At 38.4% G+C, this 23,471-nt stretch overlaps 1 long non-coding RNA gene across 1 annotated transcript in view, besides 1 other annotated feature; it reads left to right on the forward strand.

Annotated features, from left to right (window-relative positions):
* Positions 1-23,471, forward strand: part of LINC01122 (long intergenic non-protein coding RNA 1122) — a 543,014-nt gene that overhangs the window by 513,949 nt on the left and 5,594 nt on the right. The window lies entirely within an intron of this gene.
* Positions 7,460-7,609: a silencer, noted in NCBI's record as "fragment chr2:59269296-59269445 (GRCh37/hg19 assembly coordinates)". NCBI's record gives its function as "represses an EF-1alpha promoter that drives an FKBP-Casp9 reporter gene in an ReSE screen in K562 erythroleukemia cells {active_cell/tissue: K562}" and the evidence as "EXISTENCE:reporter gene assay evidence [ECO:0000049][PMID:32094911]".

A 23,471-nucleotide genomic window follows, 5' to 3' on the forward strand; every position in this document is an offset into this window, starting at 1 on the left:
GTTGACTAATGCCAAAAAATCTCCCTTCCTCCAGTGTGCACCTTGTGGGGCACATTTTTGTGAGCACAACCTGCCCAGCCCTAAGCCACATCCCTTGTTCTGTCTCCACGAGGGGAGAAGAGGATGCTTAGGTCCATGCCCTGCCTCTGACCCTGGGGTTTCTCTGTAGCAAGGTCTCTCCTCTGCCTGGCTGTTCTTTGCTCCACAGGCATTAACAGTAGGTTTGACTGGGGACCTGCTGGCCCATTGTGTGGTCAGTACTCTCAGATAATACCCAGATGCCTCTGACTCATCTCAGTTTTTGCTGATGTGTTTTGTGTCTCTGCCATGTAGTGGCAAACAATCTTTAACAGTCCTCCCAGAGTGTTTGCTGAGGAGGCCCTTTGCCGTTTATCATAGGGGGCTGGTCCCCTGCCAAACTCATGACACTTAACTCAGCCTCTCCTAAGTCCTCTCTTTGAGGGGTATAAAGAAATTTCCTAATCTTGCCCATGCCACTTGGGAAGTGAGGTCAATCTACAGAATATAAATTCTGCACCTTCCTCTTCCTAGCTGGGTGGCATCACTGAGTTCTTTTTATGTGACCATCCCACATTGTGTATCTGTTAAGATCATTTCAACTCCTGCCAGAACGAGAGCTGTTAAATTAATGGAGGATCAAAGGAACAATGGAAGAGATTTTAAGAAACTTTTCTAAAATGCGTAATGTGTATTTTGTATCTTGTCCCAAGTTCACACTTTTTCTTTATGAAGAACTCGAGCCTCTGTAGAAGTGTTTTAGTGCTGCTGCACCTCCTGAGTCCAGAAAAATTTTCAAGAGAATTATATGGCTCAGTGATTTTGGTGCTTATTAACTTTATATTTGCTATCTACAACAACCTTTAGTGAAAATTAACAGGTGGATATATGGAACCAATTTTAGAGATGATTTCTATAGCTAATGGAAAGTTTATGTTTCCACTAAAATTCACATTTATTTATTTAAAATAATAAGTTCTCCTCACAGTTTTACAAAGGAGACGGAACAATACCATTCAAAGTGAAACAGCAGAATCTTCAACATTGAGAAGATAAGAGGTTTTCCTCCAGTTAATTAAAGGAGCAAGAGTTATGGAACTTTATAGTCATTTAATTATGTCATTAAGGTAAGGTAAGAGTTGGCTAGCAAGGATGAGGATAGGGTGGGAGAGACCACTACAGGCCACTGTGTAGAGTTCGACCTTTCAAGGCTTTGCCAATGCTTAGACTGTGACTCTATATTTTTGAAATATTGCAACTGGATTGACACATTTGTTATAAAGATACTTAACCATTTCATTAAAATGGCATCAATATATGTTTTTCTAAGGGAATTTTAATTTTTTTCTCAGAAGTGGTAAATACAACTTGTCTCTGAAGGTTAAAAGCTTAAAAAAATGTCTTCTCGGAGTGGTTGGCAGCATGGTTAGGCATGCTTCTGGGACACGCATGTCTGTTAACTTCTTTCTATCTCAGTTTCTCAGGTGGCAAGCAGAAAAACCTAGTAACACCTTTGTAATACTAATCCTAGCTGCTATGTATAGACTTATTTATTTGGTCCTGTGTACCAAGGCTTTTATTTTCTTTCACTTAATCCCCACAGCAAACCTATGAAGTAGGCATTATTATGCCTGTTTTACAGGGAGTGATGCAAACTGAGCCATACAGTGGAATGGGATTCTAATCCATCTTTCCATCTTTTTTTTTTTTTTTTTTTTGGAGACCTAATCCATCTTTCCATCTTTTTTTTTTTTTTTTTTTTTTGGAGACGGAGTCTTGCTTTGTCACCCAGGCTGGAGTGCAGTGGTGCAATCTCGGCTCACTGCAATCTCTACCTCCTAGTTTCAAGTGATTCTCCTGCCTTAGCCTCCTGAGTAGCTGGGATTACAGGCGCATGCCACCACGCCCAGCTAATTTTTGTATTTTTAAAGACAGGGTTTCACCATGTTGGTCAGGCTGGTCTCGAATACTTGACCTCGTGATCTGCCCACCTCGGCCTCCGAAAGTGCTGGGATTACAGGCGTAAGCCACTGCGCCCAGCCCTCTAGTCCATCATTTATCACTAAAAGACCATCATCTTGTCTGCTCTGGTGAGCTACCTCTCTTCCCTATCCTACCAAATTTGCTTTAAAGATCGAATACAACCATGTATGTAACAATACAAGTTACTTTCAACTAGGCAATTTCTATTTAAGGTATTTTTCTCCTCCCTATTTATTTTCACTTACATTTTGTTTTCTTGCACACAAAAAAACCAAAGATGACTAAAAAGACCCAAAGGAAGAGAGTAGAAAATAACAATTATGAAGTGTGGTGATGATTTAAAATACTAAAAATAAAGAAGAGGATATCATCATGCCATCTATCTATGTGTACCTTTCTGTGATTTGTCTTTGGCTTCAGTCAGAAGAATCATAAAATTATTTATAGTTTGTCTGTTAGAATTTGTGGTTGGGAGGGAATTATCTATGACTTTTTATAATTTATATCTCAATTAATTTAAAAAATGGTAGAGTCCCTATTAATGTGTCCCTTGAAAGAAAAGTTGTCTAGATCATATGCTCTCCTACTAAAATTATCTTTTTCACAAAGGACATATACGTACATGAGAAATAAGATCCTTTTAGGAAATATTAGAATAAGATTTTCAATTAGAAAGTTGCATCTGCATAGGCCTCCTGGACAGTAGGAGGAATAACTGGACTGGAATAATAAAGAGAGAATGAAAATTTTAACAAAAGAAGTGAAAGATCTCTGCAAAGAAAGCTATAAAACATTGAGAAAAAAATTAAAGAGGACATAAAAATGAAAAAATATCCTATATTCATGGATTGGAAGAACTAATATTGTTAAAATGCCCAAACTACCTAAAGCAGTCTACAGATTCAATGCAGTCTCTATCAAAATACCAATGACATTCTTCACGGAAATGGAAAAGAATCATAAAATTAATATAGAACCATAAAACACCTTGATTAGACAAGGTAATCTTGAACAAAAAGAATAAAGCTAGAGACTTTACAGTACCTGACTTATAAACATACCACAAAGTGATAGTAATCAAAACAGCATGATACTGGCATAAAAGCAGTCACATGGACCAATGGAAAAGAACAGAGAACCCAGAAATGAATCCATGCATTTACAGCCAACTCATTTTTGACAAAGGCGCCAAGAACATACATTGGGTAAAGGAGAGACTCTTCAATAAATGGTGCCCCCAAAAAACTGGATAACTATATGCAGAAGAATGAAACTAGATCATCTTACCATATAAAAAATAAAATCAAAATGGATTAAAGACTTAAAGGTAAGACCTGAAACAATAAAACTACTAGAAGAAAATATTGGAGAATCTGGACAAAGATTTTTTGAGTAAAACCTCAAAAGCACAGGCAACAAAAGCAAAATCAGAGAAAAGGGATCACATCAAGCTAAAAAACTTCTGCACAGTAAAGGAAACAATCAACAAAATGAAGAGATAACCTACAGAATGGCAGAAAATATTTGCAAACTATCTATCCAATAACCAAAATACATAAGGAAATGAAACAACTCAGTGCTAAATAAACCAAATAATTCAATAAGCAAATGATCTGAATAGACATTTCTCAAAAGAAGACATACAAATGGCAAACAGCTATAGGAAAAAAAATGCTCAACATCACTAATCATCATGAACATGCAAGTCAAAACCACAATGAGGTCTCATCTTATCATAGTTAAAATGGCTATTGTCAAAAAGACAGAAAGTAACATGCTGGTCAGGATGCAGAGAAAAGTCAACTCGTGCACACTGTGGATGGTAATGTAAATTACTACAACCATTAAGGATAACATTATGGAGGTTCCTTAGGAAACTAAAACTAGAATTACTACATGATCCAGAAATCCCACTTCTGGGTATATATCTAAAAGAAAGAAAATCAGTGTATTGAAGAGATATCTGAATTCCTATGTTTAACGCAGCACCTTCATAATAGCCAAGATAAAGAATCAACCTAAATGTCTATCAATAGATGAATGGATTTAAAAATTTGGCCTGTATACATGATGAAACACTATTTACTAATTTTTTAAAAAATGAAATCCTGTCATGTGCAGCAACGTGAATGGAACTGGAGGACATTATGTTAAGTGAAATAAGCCAGACAGAGAAAGATAAATATCGCATGTTCTCGCTCATATGTGGGAGTTAAAAAATTGATCTCATGTCAGTAGAGAGTAGAATGGTGATTACCAGAGGCTAGGAAGGGTAGAGGGCAGAGCAGGATGAAGAGAATTTGGTAAATGGGTACAAAAATACAGTTAGATGGAAAGAATAAGTTCTAGTGTTCAATAGCACAGTACAGTGACTATAGTTAACAATAATTTATTGTATATTTCAAATGGATAGAAGAGAAGTTTTGGAACATTCTTGACAGAAAGGAAAGATTATAGTTTGAAGTGATGGATATCCCAGTTACCCAGATTTAATCATTACACATTGTATGGATTTGTCAAAATATCACATGTACTACATCAACATATACAACGATTATGTATCAATAAAAAGAAATAAGGGAAAACAAATGTCATTAAAAGACTAACTTGATATGTTATTGGTACAATTCAATTTCAATATATATGAAAAGTTAAGAAGTATCAGGCAGCTGGGTGTGGTGGGTCACGCCTGAAATCCCAGCACTTTGGGAAGCCAAGGCGGGTGGATCACTTGAGGTCAGGAGTTGGAGACCAGCCTGGCCAACATGGTGAAACACTGTCTCCACTGAAAACACAAAAATTAGCTGAGTGTGGTAGTGGATGTCAGTAATCCCAGATACTCGGGAGGCTGAGGCAGGAGAATTGCTTGAACCTGGGAGGTAGAGGTTGCAGTGAGCCAAGATTGTGCCACTTCTCTCCAGCCTGGGCCACAGGAGCGAAACTGTCTCAAACGAACAAACAAACAAACACACAACAACAACAAAAGTATCAGGCATAAAATAAATACATTTTTGGAATTTACACCTTGTTCACAAATTTAAATATTTTTCACCTATCTTAAAAAATGCCCTATACTAAGTCAGAAAACTTTTAAATGGACCGCATAAACTCTTGAACCATTGGCCTCAGAGCACCTTATCTTGTCTCGTCAGTCAATCCACAAGAATTTTTTTTTGAATGTTTGAAGTGCTCCAGAATCTAATGATCTTTTCTCCCTTCACACCCTCACTATGTCAGACCAAATTCCACCCTGTTTTTTTTTTTTTTATTATACAGTTTGGTCTAGTTTTTACATTTCAGACTTTCTTCATTTGCTTTTGCTTTTAAATCTCTCTTTACTGACTTTGAGTGCCTTTCAAAAAAAAAAAAAGTCACTACCAACAACAGGCACTTGCTTTCAACAAGTGTACAAACTGCTTCAATCAGATTTTGCTTTTCGCTTCTTCCCAGAATAATTGCTGGTTAGTGTTTCCTTCTCATTTCATCAGTTTTCTTGAAACTATGGTAAGGTATGCATACCATACTCCAGAAAAGAGTCTTTGGGGACTCAACAAACACCTCTTTTTCCTTTTCCATTAGTAGTGGAGTGTATATCTGGTCAGCTATGTAACTTATTTTTCAGGGATACACTGGTACAGGTATTTATTTTCATATGATGGAGACACCTTTCCTATAAACATCAACAAAAACATGTTAGGGTAATTTCTCTCACCTCATTATCCCTCCTCCATATACTTCAAATTCAATTTTTGTTGTCCCCTTGGTATCATTTGGATATTCTAGTTTTGTGTTCTTATGATGAAGTTTTAATTGTAGCACTTACTTTGAAACCACACAATCAGATTATTTGTCTTTATTTCTTCAATAGTCACCTTGGCAGAAGAACTGTCTTTTTCAAACATTATGTTCCCAGGATTTAGCATAATATGTAGTCCATAATAGAGGTTGGGTAATGTTAGATGGTAAATAAACTGTTCAGTTCAATTGCTGCATTAAATGAAGGATACAACATTTGGGTTAAAGGAAAGAATTGCTAATGAAGAATAGGAAACTAAAATGGGTTGACTTAGAGAATACAAAAGGCTAAAACATGAGTTCTGTTAAGAGTATCTGTAGAATTCCTGCCTTTTCATCTGCGGAAAGATAACAGATTTCTCCATGTTCTCCAAGGTTGACCCCAAAGGCATAACTAAGCTCCTCCCAAGTCAGATAGTCTTCTGCTGAACGAAGCCTTAGGCAAAAGCCTGCATTATTTTCTGGTATAATTTAATATCGTCCATATCCAATAGCCAAGAAGGGTATACAAGCATCTTTAAGGGGGTTTTCTCTCTCTGCTTGGAGTCCCCCTCCCTCTGTTTTTGTACGGGGAGCTTTTTCTGTCTTTCTTGCCTATTAAACTTTCTGCTCTTTCAAACCACAAAAAAAAAAAAAAGAAAGAAAAGAAAAGAAAAGAAAAAAAGCATCTATGGGCTCTGAAAGTCAATTTATTTCGACATACATGTATTGAGAGCCTACTCTGTGCTGGAACTGCAGATACAGAGACGACAGGATCACTATCCCAACAGTAATGCACTTTACTCAACCCGGTGCACTCACTATGCCAGTCAGTCCAGTGGTTTCTACACCAGATTATCTGTGACGTCACCCCAGCATATCTTTAATGCTTTCTTGTAAATAACTTCAAATGGCTTATTTTCTTATAGGTATGTCATTCTTCTTTTTTTGTTTTTTGTTGTTTTTCCATTCTTCTTTACCCACTATAAATTTAACTGTGTTTTCAGTAAATTATATGCCCAGAGTTCTAATATATAGTTAATGTTTAATTGGTAGTTTCTTACTATATATTACATTTTTCCTTTTTAAAATACTTATTCAATGACTGTACACCAAGAATGTTTCTACCCACTGGAATACATAGATGAACAAAGTTTAAAAAGTTTCTTATTTATTTTTATTTATTTATTTATTTTTGAGACAGGATATCACTCTTCCACCCAGACTGGAGTGCAATGATGCGATCACGGCTCATTGCTCCCTTGATCTCCCGGGCTCAAGTGATCCTCCTACCTCAGCCTCCCGAGTAGCTGGGGCTACAGGTGTGTGCCACTGCACCTAGCTAATTTTTTTTTTTAATTTAGTTTTTGTAAATATGGGGTCTCATGGTGTTGCCCAGGCTAGTCTTGAACTCTTCCTTTTTAAAATAGAGCTTACAATTACATTCTCATGAGGGAGCAAGCAACAAACAAACAAATGGTTTCAATTAGCATTTATACTACAATAATGCTACGAAACAAACAACTCTAAATCTCTGAATTGCAACATCAAACATTCATCTCAATAACAGTTCTGTGGGTTAGCTAGAAGGGGACTGACCCTAGCAGAGTTTTGCTTATCTTGGCTCTAAACCGTCAGTTGGGATCAGATCTGCTCCTCTTGTTTCTTCAGTCTCCCTAGACCAGCTATCTGGAGCATGTTCTTCTTGTGGGGAAGTGTAGGAGTGCAAGAAAACAAGCCAGATGGCCGGGCGCGGTGGCTCACAACTGTAATCCCAGCACTTTGGGAGGCCGAGGCGGGTGGATCATGAGGTCAGGAGATCGAGACCATCCTGGCTAACAAGGTGAAACCCCGTCTCTACTAAAAATACAAAAAATTAGCCGAGCGCGGTGGCCGGCGCCTGTAGTCCCAGCTACTCGGGAGGCTGAGGCAGGAGAATGGCGTGAACCCGGGAAGCGGAGCTTGCAGTGAGCCGAGATTGCGCCACTGCAGTCCGCAGTCCGGCCTGGGCGACAGAGCGAGACTCCGTCTCAAAAAAAAAAAAAAAAAAAAAAGAAAACAAGCCAGATCATGACAACAAGTCTAAATCTCTGCTTCTGTCGCATTTACTAACATTTCTTTAACTCAGACAATTCACATGCCAAGCCCAATATGAGTGGATCAAGGGAGTATTTTTCACACATATTGGAAAAAACTGCAAGTTACATAGGAAAAAAGGTAATGTATAATTTTATAATAGAAAGAGAATGAAGATTAAAAGTATTAATAATAACTCAATCTTTCAATCACAGTTGTCTCTCTTGTTCACAATTCATGTTCCTTCTGCACCTGAGACATATTAATGGCCATTCCAAGAAACCCACAAAGTTTCACCCAATTATGGCATTGAGTTCAAAGTCCAGGATCTCATGATCCATGTCAGGTCTGGATGGAACTTCTCTTGATCTGGACCTCTATGAACTGAAAAGATATGTTATCTGCCCCCACACATCTAATGTCCCATGCTGGAATATAAACAGAACAAACAAACAGCTGCATTCAACAAGGGGACAATTGGGAGAAACACAGAATAACTGGTATATAGAAATTTTGAAACTCTGCTGAACAAATTTTGCCAGGGTCTCCTACAAGGATGTTGGCAGATATTTTGGTTAAGCCCTGTTTCTGTACCTGGGAGTTTATCCCCAGTCTACTGTTGTACATGAGTCTTTGTTCTTGTCTTGGAACTCCTTCCTTTTTCATTTTTGGCTTTCTGATGAGTAGAGGAGAATATGTCCTCTTGGTAGCTGAGCAGATTTCTCAGCCTGCTTCCTGTCTGAAAAATCTTGGGGTCTCAGAGATTCTTATATATTTCCAACAGACATAATTTTTAAAATCCAGGCTGGTGGTAATCTTGCCAATACAGCTCTCTCAAAAACTCTGTGAACTTTCTGTTTGCTTCCAGTCAACTACAATGGGCCAAATGCCTCAACCATAATTCTTTTAGAGACAGGTTCTTTTCTAGCTATAAGTAGGTAATTTGCATGTATTAGGCATCTGTGAGATGCACCCTCAGTCTCCTTAATCTTTTCAGGAGTCTTTTTCTATCTTTTTTTTTTTGAGATGGAGTCTCACTCTGTTGGCCAGGCTAGAGTGCAGTGGCATGATCTTGGCTCACTGCAACTTCCACCTCCCAGGTTCAAGCAATTCTCCTGCCTCGGCCTCCCGAGTAGCTGGGACTGCAGGCGCACGCCACCACTCCTGGCTAATTTTTTGTATTTTAGTAGACACGGGATTTCACCATGTTGCCCAGGCTGGTCTGGAAATCCTGAGCTCAGTCAATCCACCTGCCTTGGCCTCCCAGAGTGCTGGGATTACAGGTGTGAGCCACCACGCTCCACCCTTTTTTCAGGAATCTTACCAATGGGTGTGACAACTATTTTCTTGATTTTATCTTTATCTTACCTTATGGCGATGTTCTAATGGCAATGTTATCTATAGAGAGAAATGGTTTAATTTTCAAACTGATAATTTCCAGAATTTGGGGGTTCTCTCAGTTTCACTCAATCTTATTTGCAAGTCAGTCAATTCTTTTCTAAGCTTATATTTTTCTTGTAGTAACTTAATAAATGCAGACAACAACAGCCAATTCATACTATAAATATTTTGCCCCCAAAACTTCCCGGCTCAAAGCTACAAGTACATTTAGTACACTTTCTGCCTTCCAGATTATTGTAGTCAACAGTTTTATCAAATGTTTTGGTACTGCATAATATGGGTTTTCATTTTCCTAGCTATTACTTTTTAAATAATAGTTTCTTCTCTTCTTACCAGGTGATCCCAAACTAATGACACGTTTTAATATTTTTTGACAGCAGAAGCCCATTTTTGGTAGAGTTTCAATGTTAACTAGCAATTGCCACAAGTAGAATATATAACAAACCTCACACCCAAACCCAAAACTCAGTGGCATAAGCAAGTATTTATTTCCTTGCTAATGGTCTCATGGGTTGGCTGAAACAGTGCTACTTTAGGTCATAGGGAGACTTGGTTCCAAGACTCAGATTAGGTTCAGATTTGTCCTAAAAGTCTCTTCACTCTTCTTCAAAAACTGACTACCTAGGGTCTATTTCTCTAATAGGGAAAGGCAGAAGCACCAGGATCCAAGCAAGACACATGGCATATCTGAAGACTATTCTCATGATGACTGCCAACATTTAATTAACCAATGCAAGTCACATGACTAAGCCTAATTGCAATCAGGTAGGAATATTTTCTACTCACAGTGACATGTCAAATGATATGTATATTATAGCATGAAGGAGTCAAGAATTAAGGAGTTCAATCTAGCATATATACAAACAAGAAAACATCAGCTAGTATAAATTGTGAGGAAAGTAAAGCGGGTCTAGAGAATGCTTGGAAAACCACTAAGAATAGTTTGTTGAGATGACATTTTAACTGAGGTTGAATGCATTCTATGCAGAGGAAACAGACAATGAAAAGACCTAGATGCAGAGATAAGCTCAGGGTGATGGAAGAACTGAAATAAAACCACAGAGAGGATGGTAGGAGATGAAACCAATGAGGAAGTAGAGGCCAAATTATTTAGAACTTTTATTATCATTATTATTTGCAATATTACATAAGTGCACATTTCAGAGGATTATTTACCAAATGCTGAAGAAATAAAAAAGATTTTTGTGAGTCCTAATGGTTGTCATGATAGCCCATGAATAGGGTAGCTGAATTCAACCACTCTGGAAAGTTTCATAATGGTCGAGTTGTGTAATCGATTCAATAATTTACCTTTTCGCTGGTTCTTTTTGGAGTTTTGGCCTGCTAAGTTGTTTCAATGGAAAACCTGAAAATACTAAGAATTCTTGACTAGAGAGTTGCCAGCTGAAATACTGAAGAGATAAATTGGTAGCCGCTGAAACTGCTCAGCTTCTTAGCAGTTCCAGGTATTTCTTTTTCCCTGGGCTTCTCGGAGCTAAATGGAAATATAAAGGTGTTGGAGCCCCGCTTCTCCCTCTTAGTTTCACTCAGGAGAATTCTCTTATTCTCTACTCCCAAGAAGGTTCTCTAGGTATGAAACAGTAACAGTTCTGGTTGTTGGTGGTATCATTTCCTAGGGAAGTTTTTGTACTGGTCCTTTGGATATGGTATCAACTCTGGGTGTAAAACCCAGAGGTCCATCCCATGCCCTTGGGAACTTCAGGATTAATAGGAGATGCAGAATATATTTAAATGGGACATACTCATCACCATAAATAGTGTGGTCACACAGAAAGAGAGTTGTACAAACCTCAAAATTTTACTGAATTAGAAACACAAATGCTCTAAACACTAAAATGCCTTAAAATAAGAGGTCATGAGCACTTTCTAGAAATGACCTTTGATCTTTGTTCAATGTGAAAAATTTTGTTTAAAATTGGCATTTAATTAGCCAGATTTTCTTTTGTCCTCATCTTCCTGTAGACTTATGGAAAAGGGAACTACTCTATTTTCAAAAACATGAAAAAAAGAAAACCTAAACCAGCAATATAGAGAAACTGTGGTTCTCCCTGGGTCGCCATAACACCTCTACAGGTGTGCCCTTGACTTCTATTAAGAATCACCAGCTAAATAGGTGAAATACACAGCTGTATATTTCCACTGCAGCATCTTTTAGCAAGCAAGGGGCTGTGTCTAGGTGAATCAGAATATGCTGGCTGGTGGAGCTCAGACACAATAATGTGTTTTTTTCAGGAAAAATAAGTGTGACAGTGTTTATTTCACACACAATTGTTTGTCAGAGGACTTCAAAGGGGTGGGCAGAGATCAGTTAAGCATTGCCACCTGTCCCATAGGTTGTGCTTCTTCTTTTCAGGTGGGACTCTGAGGTCATTAGCACTGGGGTGGCTTATCCTCTGTTCAGCTCCTGTGCCACAACGTAAGACAGGAATCCTGCCAGGAGGAGGACTTGGGTCCTGGCTCCTAACCACCCCCGTTGGACTCCAGCTGCCAGTGCCGCCCAAAGAAGAGAGCATGCCGCCTGGCTTTAAGAAAGCTTGCAGCCCCTGAGAGTGGCAGGTTAAAAACCTATAGGGTGGTTCAATAAAAGGCAATGCCTTGCTCCGTCCTGTGCTGCTATTGTACATTGGAACACATGCTGCTAGGAGACAAAGAGGACACGCGTTTATTTTCAAGCGTAGGACTTTGGAACCACTTGGGAAGAATATTCTTGATTGAGAACCAAAACATTCCATGATGCTTAACAAACCTGCAAATTGAAAAATCAGCTTCGGCCTGTGCAGTCAGGAGGCAGGAAAAGGACCTATACCCTGAAAAAAAAAATCAAAATATTCCTTAAATGATATTTGTGTGCATTTACAAAGTTACCGCTTTCTGAATCAAAGTCTCAAGCTGTTTTCATCTGAGAACATATGTTGTGCTGTTAGACAATATCTCAGCCTGCCGCCATCCATGACATACCCTGCCGCATTGCATAATGGACAGTCCCTTGAAAAAGGAGCCGCAGCTCAGTCAATGCCCCTGTAATAATATTTTAAAATAAATGATATGCATCATTAAATCACTGAGGATGACTAACTCAATTTTAGAAAACCCACAACTCCAGCAATCATAGTTACAGCTCTGATTTGAATATTTTCACTTTCACCTGAGCAGCCAGTGGGAGCCAGTCAAGCAGATTGGGCATCCAGGCAGAGGAAGGCTGTGTCTCCGAGGAGCAGGAGGGAACCTGTGATTATGTAGTTACAGTAACGTCGGCTCATGCCTCGTGTCCGCCTGGGCTTTTTAGGCTTTTCCTTCCTCCCTTCTTGGCTTCTTATTTACATATCACAGGCATCCTCTTTGTAAAGTTATTTTAAATAATGTATTAGATTGATCTTTTTAAAATTCTACCATGGCTAAATGTCATAAGGAAAAAAAAATAAGTCTTCGAAACTTATTTAAAGGTTTCTACTGGAGTAGGCCAGTTACCTGCTTCACTGCTGATATTCTAAAAATACCTCCATGTCCATACTATTATCCATTCTTCACGTCCAATTGCTCTGTTATGGTAATAGTCAGAAGCACACCATGCAGTAATTACTTACAGCTGACTGAAGAAAAGAATATTCAACTCCCCCACTGTTCCACTAGAAGGTCTTTATGCACTATTAACTCATTCCTGTTTATTAATACTCTACTGGTAATTCAGACTGCTGCCTCTTAGGTTTGTAATAGGAGGACTATTAAACAGCAATTACTGACCATATGGGTTGGTGAATATTTGTTGTTTTTTGGTGGGCTTTTCCCCCCCTCCTTCCAACTTGTTTTTTAAGAAGCCATATTACAACATAGTAAAAGTATCATCACATCTGCATGAGATTAACAAGCTTGGCAGGATTTCTCCCTTAGAAAATGTGTATTTATTCCCAGATTATCATCGCTAGCTTAAGAAAAGGAGAACGTGGGAGAAACAGGAAAATGTGGGAGATTGTTCTCTTGTGAGAAGACCCCTACTTTGGAAGATATTTTGGATCTTATGTTTCCTAAGTCACTCTGTGGGATGTTTTCTTTTACTGACTTTGAAAGGACACTGACCCACTCTCAAACACCATCAGCTTCTCAAAGCAAGCATAGTTATTGAGGAATCCAGTCAAATACCACTCTCCATTTCAAGTTCCCCAAGTGTTTGAAAGGGATCACTGTAAAATTGATAATTTAGTAAATTTATCTCCCAAAAAGCAGGTATATGAACCCTGAGAGGTGACGAAGGGTTCCCCCTGGGAGAGGGATGGCAATGAGTAATGGGTTCAAGTGAGGCAAGCAGGTGGTAAATGATGATTATGGTAATAATAATGTGTGCCTCTCTCACAGGTAGTGAACACTGAGCATGTTGCAAGCATTAAACACATTTAAATGGAGATGCATCTTTAAGATAAATAGGAGCCCGGGAGCTAATTTTCATTGGAAATTGAAGAGTTGAGATCCAGGACAGAGAAGTCACTTGACCAGCAACCTCCACTAACATGATGGCAGTGGCTAGGTGTCTAGGCTGTTTGACATAGTAAGCTTTTGCTCCAAGGCAGCCAGTCTCCTTAGGGTCCCTTGTGCTTATCTTCTGATTTTTCCCCTTTTCCTATAAGGAGCCATTCTCTCTTTATGTCCAAATCTTTCTAGCCCTTCAATAAACAGATCAAATCCCACCCCTGACCCCAAAACTCCAGCTCGCTTTGATCTTGCCCTTTTCAAACTACCAAGCAGATTTAGTGTCAGTACCACACCTTTGGCAGGTGGTTGTAGCTAATTTAGCACTCTCCCTTTGTTACCTGATGGTGTTGTGTGTGGAAGTTTTTTTTTCTCCTCGATACACTCTAAATCCTTGAAGACAGGGACCATATCTTTTAAACTTTTCTTCTATTTATCTCCGTACCTAGCTCAGTATTGGACATTCAGTTAGTGCTAAATAGAGGTTGGAAGAATTCAATGGAAATATGTAGAGCAGGGGAAAGGACATTAACCCCTACATTTTCTTACTCTATAAAGTTGTAGGAACTGGAGTTTCTGAATTAGGTATGGAAAAGCAACAATAAATAATAATAACAACAACAACAAATAATAATAACAACAACAACAAAAACAAAATGACAAATATCAGCTCAAACCTAGCAGTACCAAGCTAATGTGTAGCCTATATTTGATGTTCAATGAATATTTGTTGAGTCAGATCCTCACACCATCCCAGAACTTTTTCACAGTGGGTCTCGGCCATAGGGAAAATTGCAAAAAATTTATTTCATCCATATCTTTCTGATTGGATCTAGAATCCTGGATTGCCTATGGCCTAGAAAGCCCTCAAAGTGGGGAGAATGATTCCTCTAAGACTCCGTGTGGTAGGTAGCTTCAATAATGCAGGCTGATCCCAATAACACAGGCTGATCCAGACAAGATCAGAACTGCCTGATAGGATCTGAAAGGCACCAGAATGGCCTCCCTACTCTCTAATATCTCACAGAGAGAAGGAGCCAGCAAGCACCTGAGATTAATTACTCCAGTGGATTTCAAATATTTTGTTTTGTTGCTATTGTTTTAACAGTAGGACTGTTTTTTTCCCAGTTAAGCATTATGCAGAATCCTGGTGTATACAGCGGATTAAAACAGAACAGCTCCGGTTGAAGTTGGGTTGGGAGGCATGAATTCCTAACCTGATAACCTAGCTGATAAAGCCAAGAGGCACTTCTGGGAGACCCCAGTGTATCTGGGGACACTATAGGGCAAGTATTTTTCCAGTCCAACCTTTTTTGGATATAAATGTGTAGATTGAATGCAGAATCTCAAATCCACACAGCTAACAGCAGAATGGTCCTGGAATCCAATCCTTTTTCCTTAGGTTTATTGAGGTATAATTAACAAATAAAAATTGTATACATTTAAATTACACATCAGAATATATTTGGATATACACATACATTGTGAAATGATCACCACAATCAAGTGAATTAACATATTCATTGCCCCACATAGTTACCTTTTCTTTTGTAGTGAGAATACATAAGATTTTCTCTTAGCAAATTTCAAGTATACAATACATTATTATCAACTGTAGTCGCCATGCTGTGCATTAGATTCTCAGAACTTATTCATCTTAGAACTGAAAGTGTGTACCCTGTGACCAACATCTCACATTTCCCTCCACTCCCTGGCCCCTGACAACAGCCCTTCTACTCTGTTTCCATGAGTTTGACTTTTTGGATTCCACATTTAAGTGAACTCAGGTAGTATTTGTCTTTCTGTGTCTGGTTTATTTCATTTATCATAATATCCTCCAGTTTTATCCATGTTGAAACAAATGGCAAGATTGCCTTCTTTTTAAGGCTGTATATATATATATATATATACACACACACACACACATATATATACACATATACATATATACACATATGTATATATACATATATACATCTGCATGAGATTAACAAGCTTGGCAGGATTTCTCCCTTAGAAATTTTACTCTTGGAAATATATACATATACATATATATACATATACATATATATACACACACACACCACACACACACACACACACATATATGGCTGTATATATATATATATGAAACATATATATTCTATTATACATATTTATTTATAAAGTATATATACGTATACACAGATTTTTTAACATTCATTTGTCAATGAACACTCAAGTTCTTTCCATATTTGAACTATTGTGAATAATCAATTTTTTTGTTAATTAGCTAAGCTTTTATCTCTATTGCCTACCTGTGCTAGTAGATTAAGTCATTGTCACCAGAAGGCTACTGTTAATGGGTGCATATGTGACGTCGCAGAACCAGGCTATTAAGCCTCTTACTTTAAATTAAAAATTAATTATTTATATGTTTTTTTGAGACGGGGTCTTTCTCTGTCACCCAGACTGGAGTACAGTGGCACTATTATAGCTCACTGCACCCTCCATATCCCAGTCTCAAGCAATCCTCCTGCCTCAGCCCTCAGAGTAGCTGGGACTGCAGGTGCACACCATCATGCCTGGCTAATTTTTTTGACTTTAGTAGAGAGGAGGTCTTGCTATAATACCCAGGCTGGTCTTGAACTCTTGAGCTCAAGTGATCCTCCCTCCTCGGCCTCCCAATGTGCTTGGTCTCCTGATGTGCTGGGGTTACAGGTGTGAGCCATCACTCCTGGCCTAGCCCTCCTCTTAACACAGAGCTGAGATGAGTTTATAGTCAGGTGAGTCAAGGTGTATTGAATGGGTGTCTTAGTCTCTTAGTTTTCTCAGCCTGCTATAACAAAATACCATAGACTGGATGGCTTAGACAGTGCACATTTATTTTTCACAGTTCTGGAGGCTGCAAAATCCAAGATCAAAGTGCCAGTGGATTCAGTTCTTGGTAAGGGTCCTCTTCCTGATTTGTAGATACAGTGTTCTCATTATGTCTTCATGTGATCTTTCCTTGGTGCATGCATTTGAAGAAAGAGAAAGAGGAGAGAGAGAAAGAGAGACAGAGACAGATTTTGTGTCTCCTTCTTTTTATAAGGGTGTTAATCCAATCATGAAGGCCCCACCTTCATAACCGAATTTAACCCTATTGCCTCCTAAATGCTCCATCTCTAAATGTCATCACACTGGGGATTAGGTTTTCAACACTTCAACATTTTGAGGAATACAAATATTCAGTCCATAATAGTATACCCGTGATCCCCCAAATTAATGTCCTTCCTGCATACAAAATACATTTATTCCATCCAAATTGCCCCAGAACTCTTGATCCAGCATCAACTCTAAAGTCCAAAGTTTTATCTAAATATTATCTAAATAAGACATAGATGAAACTAGAAATACACTTATCCTGAAGCAAAATTCCTTTCTATCTGTGATCCTGTGAAACCAGAAAAAGTCTGTGTTTCTAAAATACAATGATGGGACATGCATAGGATAGACATTTCCCTTCAAAAAGGGAGAAATCTGAACGAAGAAAGAATGATGGATCCCAAGCAAGTCCAAAACTTAGCAAGGCAAATTCCGTGAAATCTTAAGGCTCAGTAATAATCCTCTTTAAAATGATTTCCTGCCTACTGGACCAACTGGAGCAGCAGTCCTGCCTTCCAGACTCATTGGGGTGGGTGGTTCTGCCAGGTGGGGTTTGTGAAGAGTCGTGCTCCAAAATCTCTTGGTGGGCCCCCCTTTACTGCTCTAGGATGCTGCAATCTCGCTGTTGAAGTGAAGGCATTTGCCCTTCCTGCTTCTTTGAAAGCAAGGAAGCAGCTCTGATGATTTCTGAATCACCTTCAGGGTCATGCTTCTATTTCCCTGAAGAATAATGTTGACAGCCAAATAGCTCTCTGGTCTAGTCCTGTAGAATGTAAAAAGTGTGAAAGCTTTCCTTCATTTAGTCTCATCTCTGTCCCCTTACATTCAAATTAGCATCGTTCCTGCTGGGGTGGCTGATTAGGTCCATGATTCCTACCCATATTAATCCTCTTATCAAGTCGTTGCTCCACCACATGCTTAGCGTTCTCTACAATATAGATGGGCTGAGAATTTTCTAATCTTTAAGTTCTGGTTTATCTTTGCTTAACAATTCCTTCTTCAATTTATTTCTGTCTTCTTGCATTTTACTATAAGTAGTCAGGAGGAACTGGGCCACTCCTTCGACACTTCTCTTGGAAATATTCTCAGCTAAATATCTCATTTCATTGCTTGGAAGTTCTACCTTCCTCAAAACTTTAGAACACAAATGCAATTCAGCCAAGTATTATTTTTTTAAAAACAAAAGTTGCCTTCCCTCCAGTTTCCAATAACGTTTCTCATTTCTACCTAAGTTTTTCCAAACAACTTGAATGCCCTTTACCAAAATGGCCATTATTGTCCATATTTATGCCAACATTCCATTCATAATTATTTAGATATCCCCCAAGAAGATAGACGCGGTCTCTGCAGCTCTCCTCTTTTCTTTCTAAGTCTCATTAGAATCATCCCTAAGTGCCCTTTATGGGAATCTTAGCTTTTTCTAGCTTGCATCTTAAAAACTCTTTCAGTCTCTACCCATTACCCAGTTCCAAAGCCATTTCCACAGTTCTAGGCATTTGTTATAGCAGCACCCCACTTTCTTGGTACCAGTTACTATCTTAGTCTTTCTGTACTGTTATAACAAAATACCATAAATTGAGTGAGTTAAACAACAGACACGTATTTCTCACAGTTCTGGAGGCTTGAAAGCCCAAGATCAAGGTGCCAGTGCATTTGGTTCTTAGTGAGAGTCTATTCCTGACTTGCAGATGCCATCTCTTCTTACGTCCTCATGTGGCCTTTCTTTGGAGCCTTCCTGTGGAGGGAGAGAGAAAAAGAGAAATAGAAAGAGATTGTGTATATCTTCTTCTTTTTATAGGGTATTAAGCTCATTATAAGAGCCCCACCCTCTTGACCTTGTCTAAACTTAATTATCTCCCAAAGCCCCTGCTTTCAAATACCATCACATTGAGGATTAGGGCTTCAACATATGAATTTTAGGGTTCTACAAATATTTAGTTAATAGCACATTGTATGAACAAAAGCTTCATATGGAGGCTTTCCACTTAAAGGAGGGATTTCCACTTAAAGGAGGGATATCCACTTAAAGGAGGGATATCCACTTAAGGATCTTAAATTTCAAAGCAAATATGGGGTGATTGTGGTTCATTTTCAGCTTGGCCACTTCTGCATTTGTGTGGTTGTTTTCCCTTCCCTAGTTTTAGCTCAACTTGGGTGTCCTGTGCTTGCCTGGTCCTGGATCACACATTTATACCAATTTCTATCTTGTCTTAGTTGAGGGAAACCACTACAAAGACTCCCTTATGGTGCTGGAAATTAAACTTCTTCTATACACAGCATAATATAGATTATGCTATAATCTACAGCATGTGAATAGTCGATGTGCAGAGAATAGCATTAAAATATTATTTTGAAGAAAATGGTCATATTGCAGATTGTCTTTTAATTATTTCACCAATAGTAGTAGCAGGAGGTAGTGAAGAATATGGTATAGGGACTGACGGAATCTCTATTCTAGACTAGAGCTTTTTGCCAATTAGCTGTGCATCTTAGGGCATATTATTTAACCTTTCTATACTCTCACTGTTTTATGTCCAAAATAAGGCCCTGTGGCCCAGATTTGCTTCTGAAATATGTTTGACTTCACTGAACCATCAAAAACTTGAATGCCCTCTATTCAGTACTTCTGAGTTAAATTGTATTAAAGCAAAACAAATGACTATAAATAGCTATATTATGAATAGAATGCTCATATATGCCCAGAAATATAAATTAGGCTGCATGACAAAACATTTGTTTCTTATATCAGTGAAAACTTGAGATAATTCAGTAAAGATGGTATTAAGCCGTGTAAATATCATCCAACTGTGATTTGGAACTGTGGAACTTTCCCCACGGGTGAGAACATCTGGGCAGTCTGTAGGCTTGATTTCAGAGATTCACTTATTCAATACGTACTCACTTTGTTTCTTCCATATTTCATTATTCAATTAATAAACATATATTGAGTTGATGCCATTGATTCATTCAATAAATCTTATTCAATGTATTTTTAAAGAGCAATCTGCTGCATACGTAACACTGTTTTCATTGTTAATGATATCAGTGAAAAGATGAGTTCTTGATTGTGAAGAACTAATAATATCACTTGGGAGAGAAAATGTATTTGTTAAAAAGATAAATAACTTTATGTTATAATGCATGATACAGACCGAGAGAGATAAAGGCTATAACGGTTGGAAGTAGGGGGTGGAGAGTGAGCATGTCAGCTGGGTGAACAGGAAGGGTTTAGAAGCCTCTTAGGCTGTGCCTTGACACAGAATAATATTAGCACAGGTGGAGAGGATGAGAGAGGTCACTTTACATAGGGAAACAATATGTATTAAAGCAGTGAATTGTATAACATTAAGAGGTGCATGAATTTAGCAAAAATCCAGGCCCATGTGCAGAGAAGGGCTTATATGAGAGACTAGTGTTGATGAGGGAAGTGACATGAAAGAATCTTCCATTTTGGAGAGATTTTCAAAGTCAGGTGAAGAATTTTGATTCCTTCCTTCCTTCTTCCTTCTTCCTTCATTTCTTTCTCTCTTTCTTTTTTCTTTGTTTCTTTTTCTTTCTTTCTCTTTCTTCTCTTTCTCTCTCTCCTCTCTTTTCTTTCTTTTTCTTTCTCTTTCTCACTTTCTTTCTTTGTGTAATATGTTTTGCTTAATGGAAATGTTTTTTTTAATGAAGTCACAGAGGAGTCCTAGAGACCATAGAAAGGAAAAAAAAAAACTGCAGGAAAAGCTACTAGGGTAACAAGTGATAATGGGAGTGGTTATAAAATATCAGAAAACATGATTGAGGTGGCAGAGCTTGGAAGACCCATGATGAAGGCAGGGTTCCTGACCAACTTGATAAGTCAGGTTGGCCAAAGATGAACTGCGCACATGGAAACTTCTCCAAGTCATCCATTCCAAGTCAGGCACAGTACTTACAACAGACTTTATTTGTCTGAAGGCATTTTCTAGTATTACTTGAAAGTTTTCTCTTTACCATTTGAGGGTTCCACCATACAGGAACATTCTCATACACATTTGCCTAGTTACATGCTGATTAATTGACAAATAAATTCCTTTTCAATTTAGACAACTTACTTTAATGGTATGTCTGTTGCTGTTTTATTGATGACAAAAGTGGTAGGTCCAGAATGATCCCTCAGAGCCAGAATGCAATGCCCTACAGTTCCTGAAATGTAAATGGCATCATAAGAGAGATATGCTCAGCCACTGCTCACTGAAAAGTGCTACCCCGTGCTCAGGCCTAAATTTCGAGGCATGTAGTATTAGGTTGCTAAAACACACAGATATTAACTTGTGGAGAAGAGTGAATTCTAGGGCCCTTGAAATAATTGCTAACCCAAGATTGAAATTGAAAGGTAGCAGACAAAGTGGGTTTTATTTCCCTGTACTGGTAGAAAACTTGTACATCACTTACTTTTATGGACCGAATTTCATCTCCTCAAAGTCCATGTGTTGAAGTCCTAACCTGCTGTACCTCAAAATATGACTGTATTTGGAGATAGAGTCTTTAACGAGATAAAATGAAGTCACTAGGGTGGGCCCTAATCCAGTATGACCAGTGTCCTTAAAAGAAGAGAAAATCAGGACACAGATAAATGCAGGGAGGGAGGACCTTTTGAAGGCACAGAGAGAAGATAACTATCTGTAAGTCAAGGAGAGTTTCCTGGGATAGATCTTTACCACATGGACCTCAGAACAAACCAACCCTTCCAATACTTTGATCTTGGCCTTCTAGACTGCACAATTGTGAGAAAATAAATTTATATTGCTTAAGCCCTTCAGTGGATGATACTTTGTTATGGCAGCTCTAGAAAATTAATACACTTACCCTTTAGGGTTTTGGATGCCTCACACATTAATGGCAAATAATAGTTTATATTTACATATCTATCAGCCATTGCCACAAAAATGGTGTGCATGAGGTGGCTGGGACAGCCATATGCATTCTGAGGCCTAAGCTGAAGGGAGAGTGACTATCTGGTGAATATCTTCTCATGGCAATGGTAGAAGTGCAAGATAGCAGGCCAATTCCACAAGCATATTTCAGCTCTGCTCTCCAACATTCCTGTAATGTCCCATTGACCAAAGAAAGTCATATGGCCAAGCCAGGATAGACATGTAAATGTATAAGATAAGAGAAGGAAGAGTTGGAGAAAGTAATTCACTGTATGATACTTACCACACAGAGGCAGGAGGCTGGATGTGATGGCCTTTTAAAGCCATTTTTCTCTAAGATAGTTCCATGACAATTACCCAGAGTCTAATTTTATTGAGAGCTTACTATGCAACAAACCCTGACCTAAGTGCTTTACAAGGTAATCCAATTAAACCACACAGATCTGTAGCTTATTATAAACAATATCCTGTGTGACTTAATCAAGTGTAAGATGATAAACCGTGGTGTTACACATCAGATGGTAATTTACCATTTGCAGACGCTTCAAGTACAGCTCCTGAGACTAAGAATGAATGTACATAGACATTCCATGCCGGGCAAAGCATCCACAAACCAGCTAACTCATTTGCAAATGCCATTGTGTTTGTTCTGACATTTTTCCTAACTCAAACTACAAGACACAAAATAAACACACAACTAAGGTCTTGCCTCCAAATAGACACTTGACTCACCTCTCAAGATATAGCCGAAAGAAGTTTCAGAAGATACTGTCACAGCTAAGGCTGTATAAGAACTCAGTGTCTTGTGACTCCAAGGCCTTGACACTGTTGTGAGAAGGCCTGGCAAATCAGAATGACCCATTCAATACCATTCCACAGTGTCAACCCCTACACTACTAGTTTCTCCCTCTGATTCTGGTCAGTGTCTAATTTTTGCTTAGTAAATGTAGGCCAAATTATGCTAAGTGGTTTTTGAACAGGAATTGAGATTACAGATTATCATTGACTACTCTTTACAACTGATTTCCATTGCCTTAAATTTGAGCCTATTCCCTTAAAAAGAATGTGTAATCATTGCTACGTCTTAACTTTGAAGACAGAAAAGTAGAAATGGGTGTTCTTCTATTCCCCCTCCTCTAGAAATCCCATTGAATCTCATTCAGAAACAGAAGTTCAGGCACTATAATAGAGAACTCTGTGAAATGGCCTTTTCCAGAATAGCAAATGTCAGTGCTTCAAGGATGAATGGCATCAAGATGACAATATACATTCGATTATGGCATATAGATTAGATAACAAGTATAAGAAATGCATTTACAACCCCCAAACCTGCTCTTATATACTTATTAGTACTGATGTTTTACCAAATAATACCCAAAATTGTTTTTAATATTAATCACTGTTCCTTTATACATTTCCAACTCTGTTTATATCTCTTGCCTATATTTAATCTCTATGATAAAGACAGTGGATTTGTTTTCATGTGATAGAAATAAATGGTAATCCAGAAACTGATGACATTTGGCATAGGTCAAATGACAATTCAGAGCTGCAGGAATTACTGGAACCTTCATCTTTGTAACAATCGTTGAGATCCAGGGAGAGAGAGGAGCTGCCTCACAGTTCTTTACACATGTTGATTCATTCCAGTCTGGGCTGTTTACACTGTAAAATTTAGGAAGGCAATCTGTAAAATGGCCCTTGGGACCTTGG

Source organism: Homo sapiens, chromosome 2, assembly GCF_000001405.40.
Source record: "Homo sapiens chromosome 2, GRCh38.p14 Primary Assembly".
Lineage (NCBI taxonomy): Eukaryota > Metazoa > Chordata > Mammalia > Primates > Hominidae > Homo > Homo sapiens.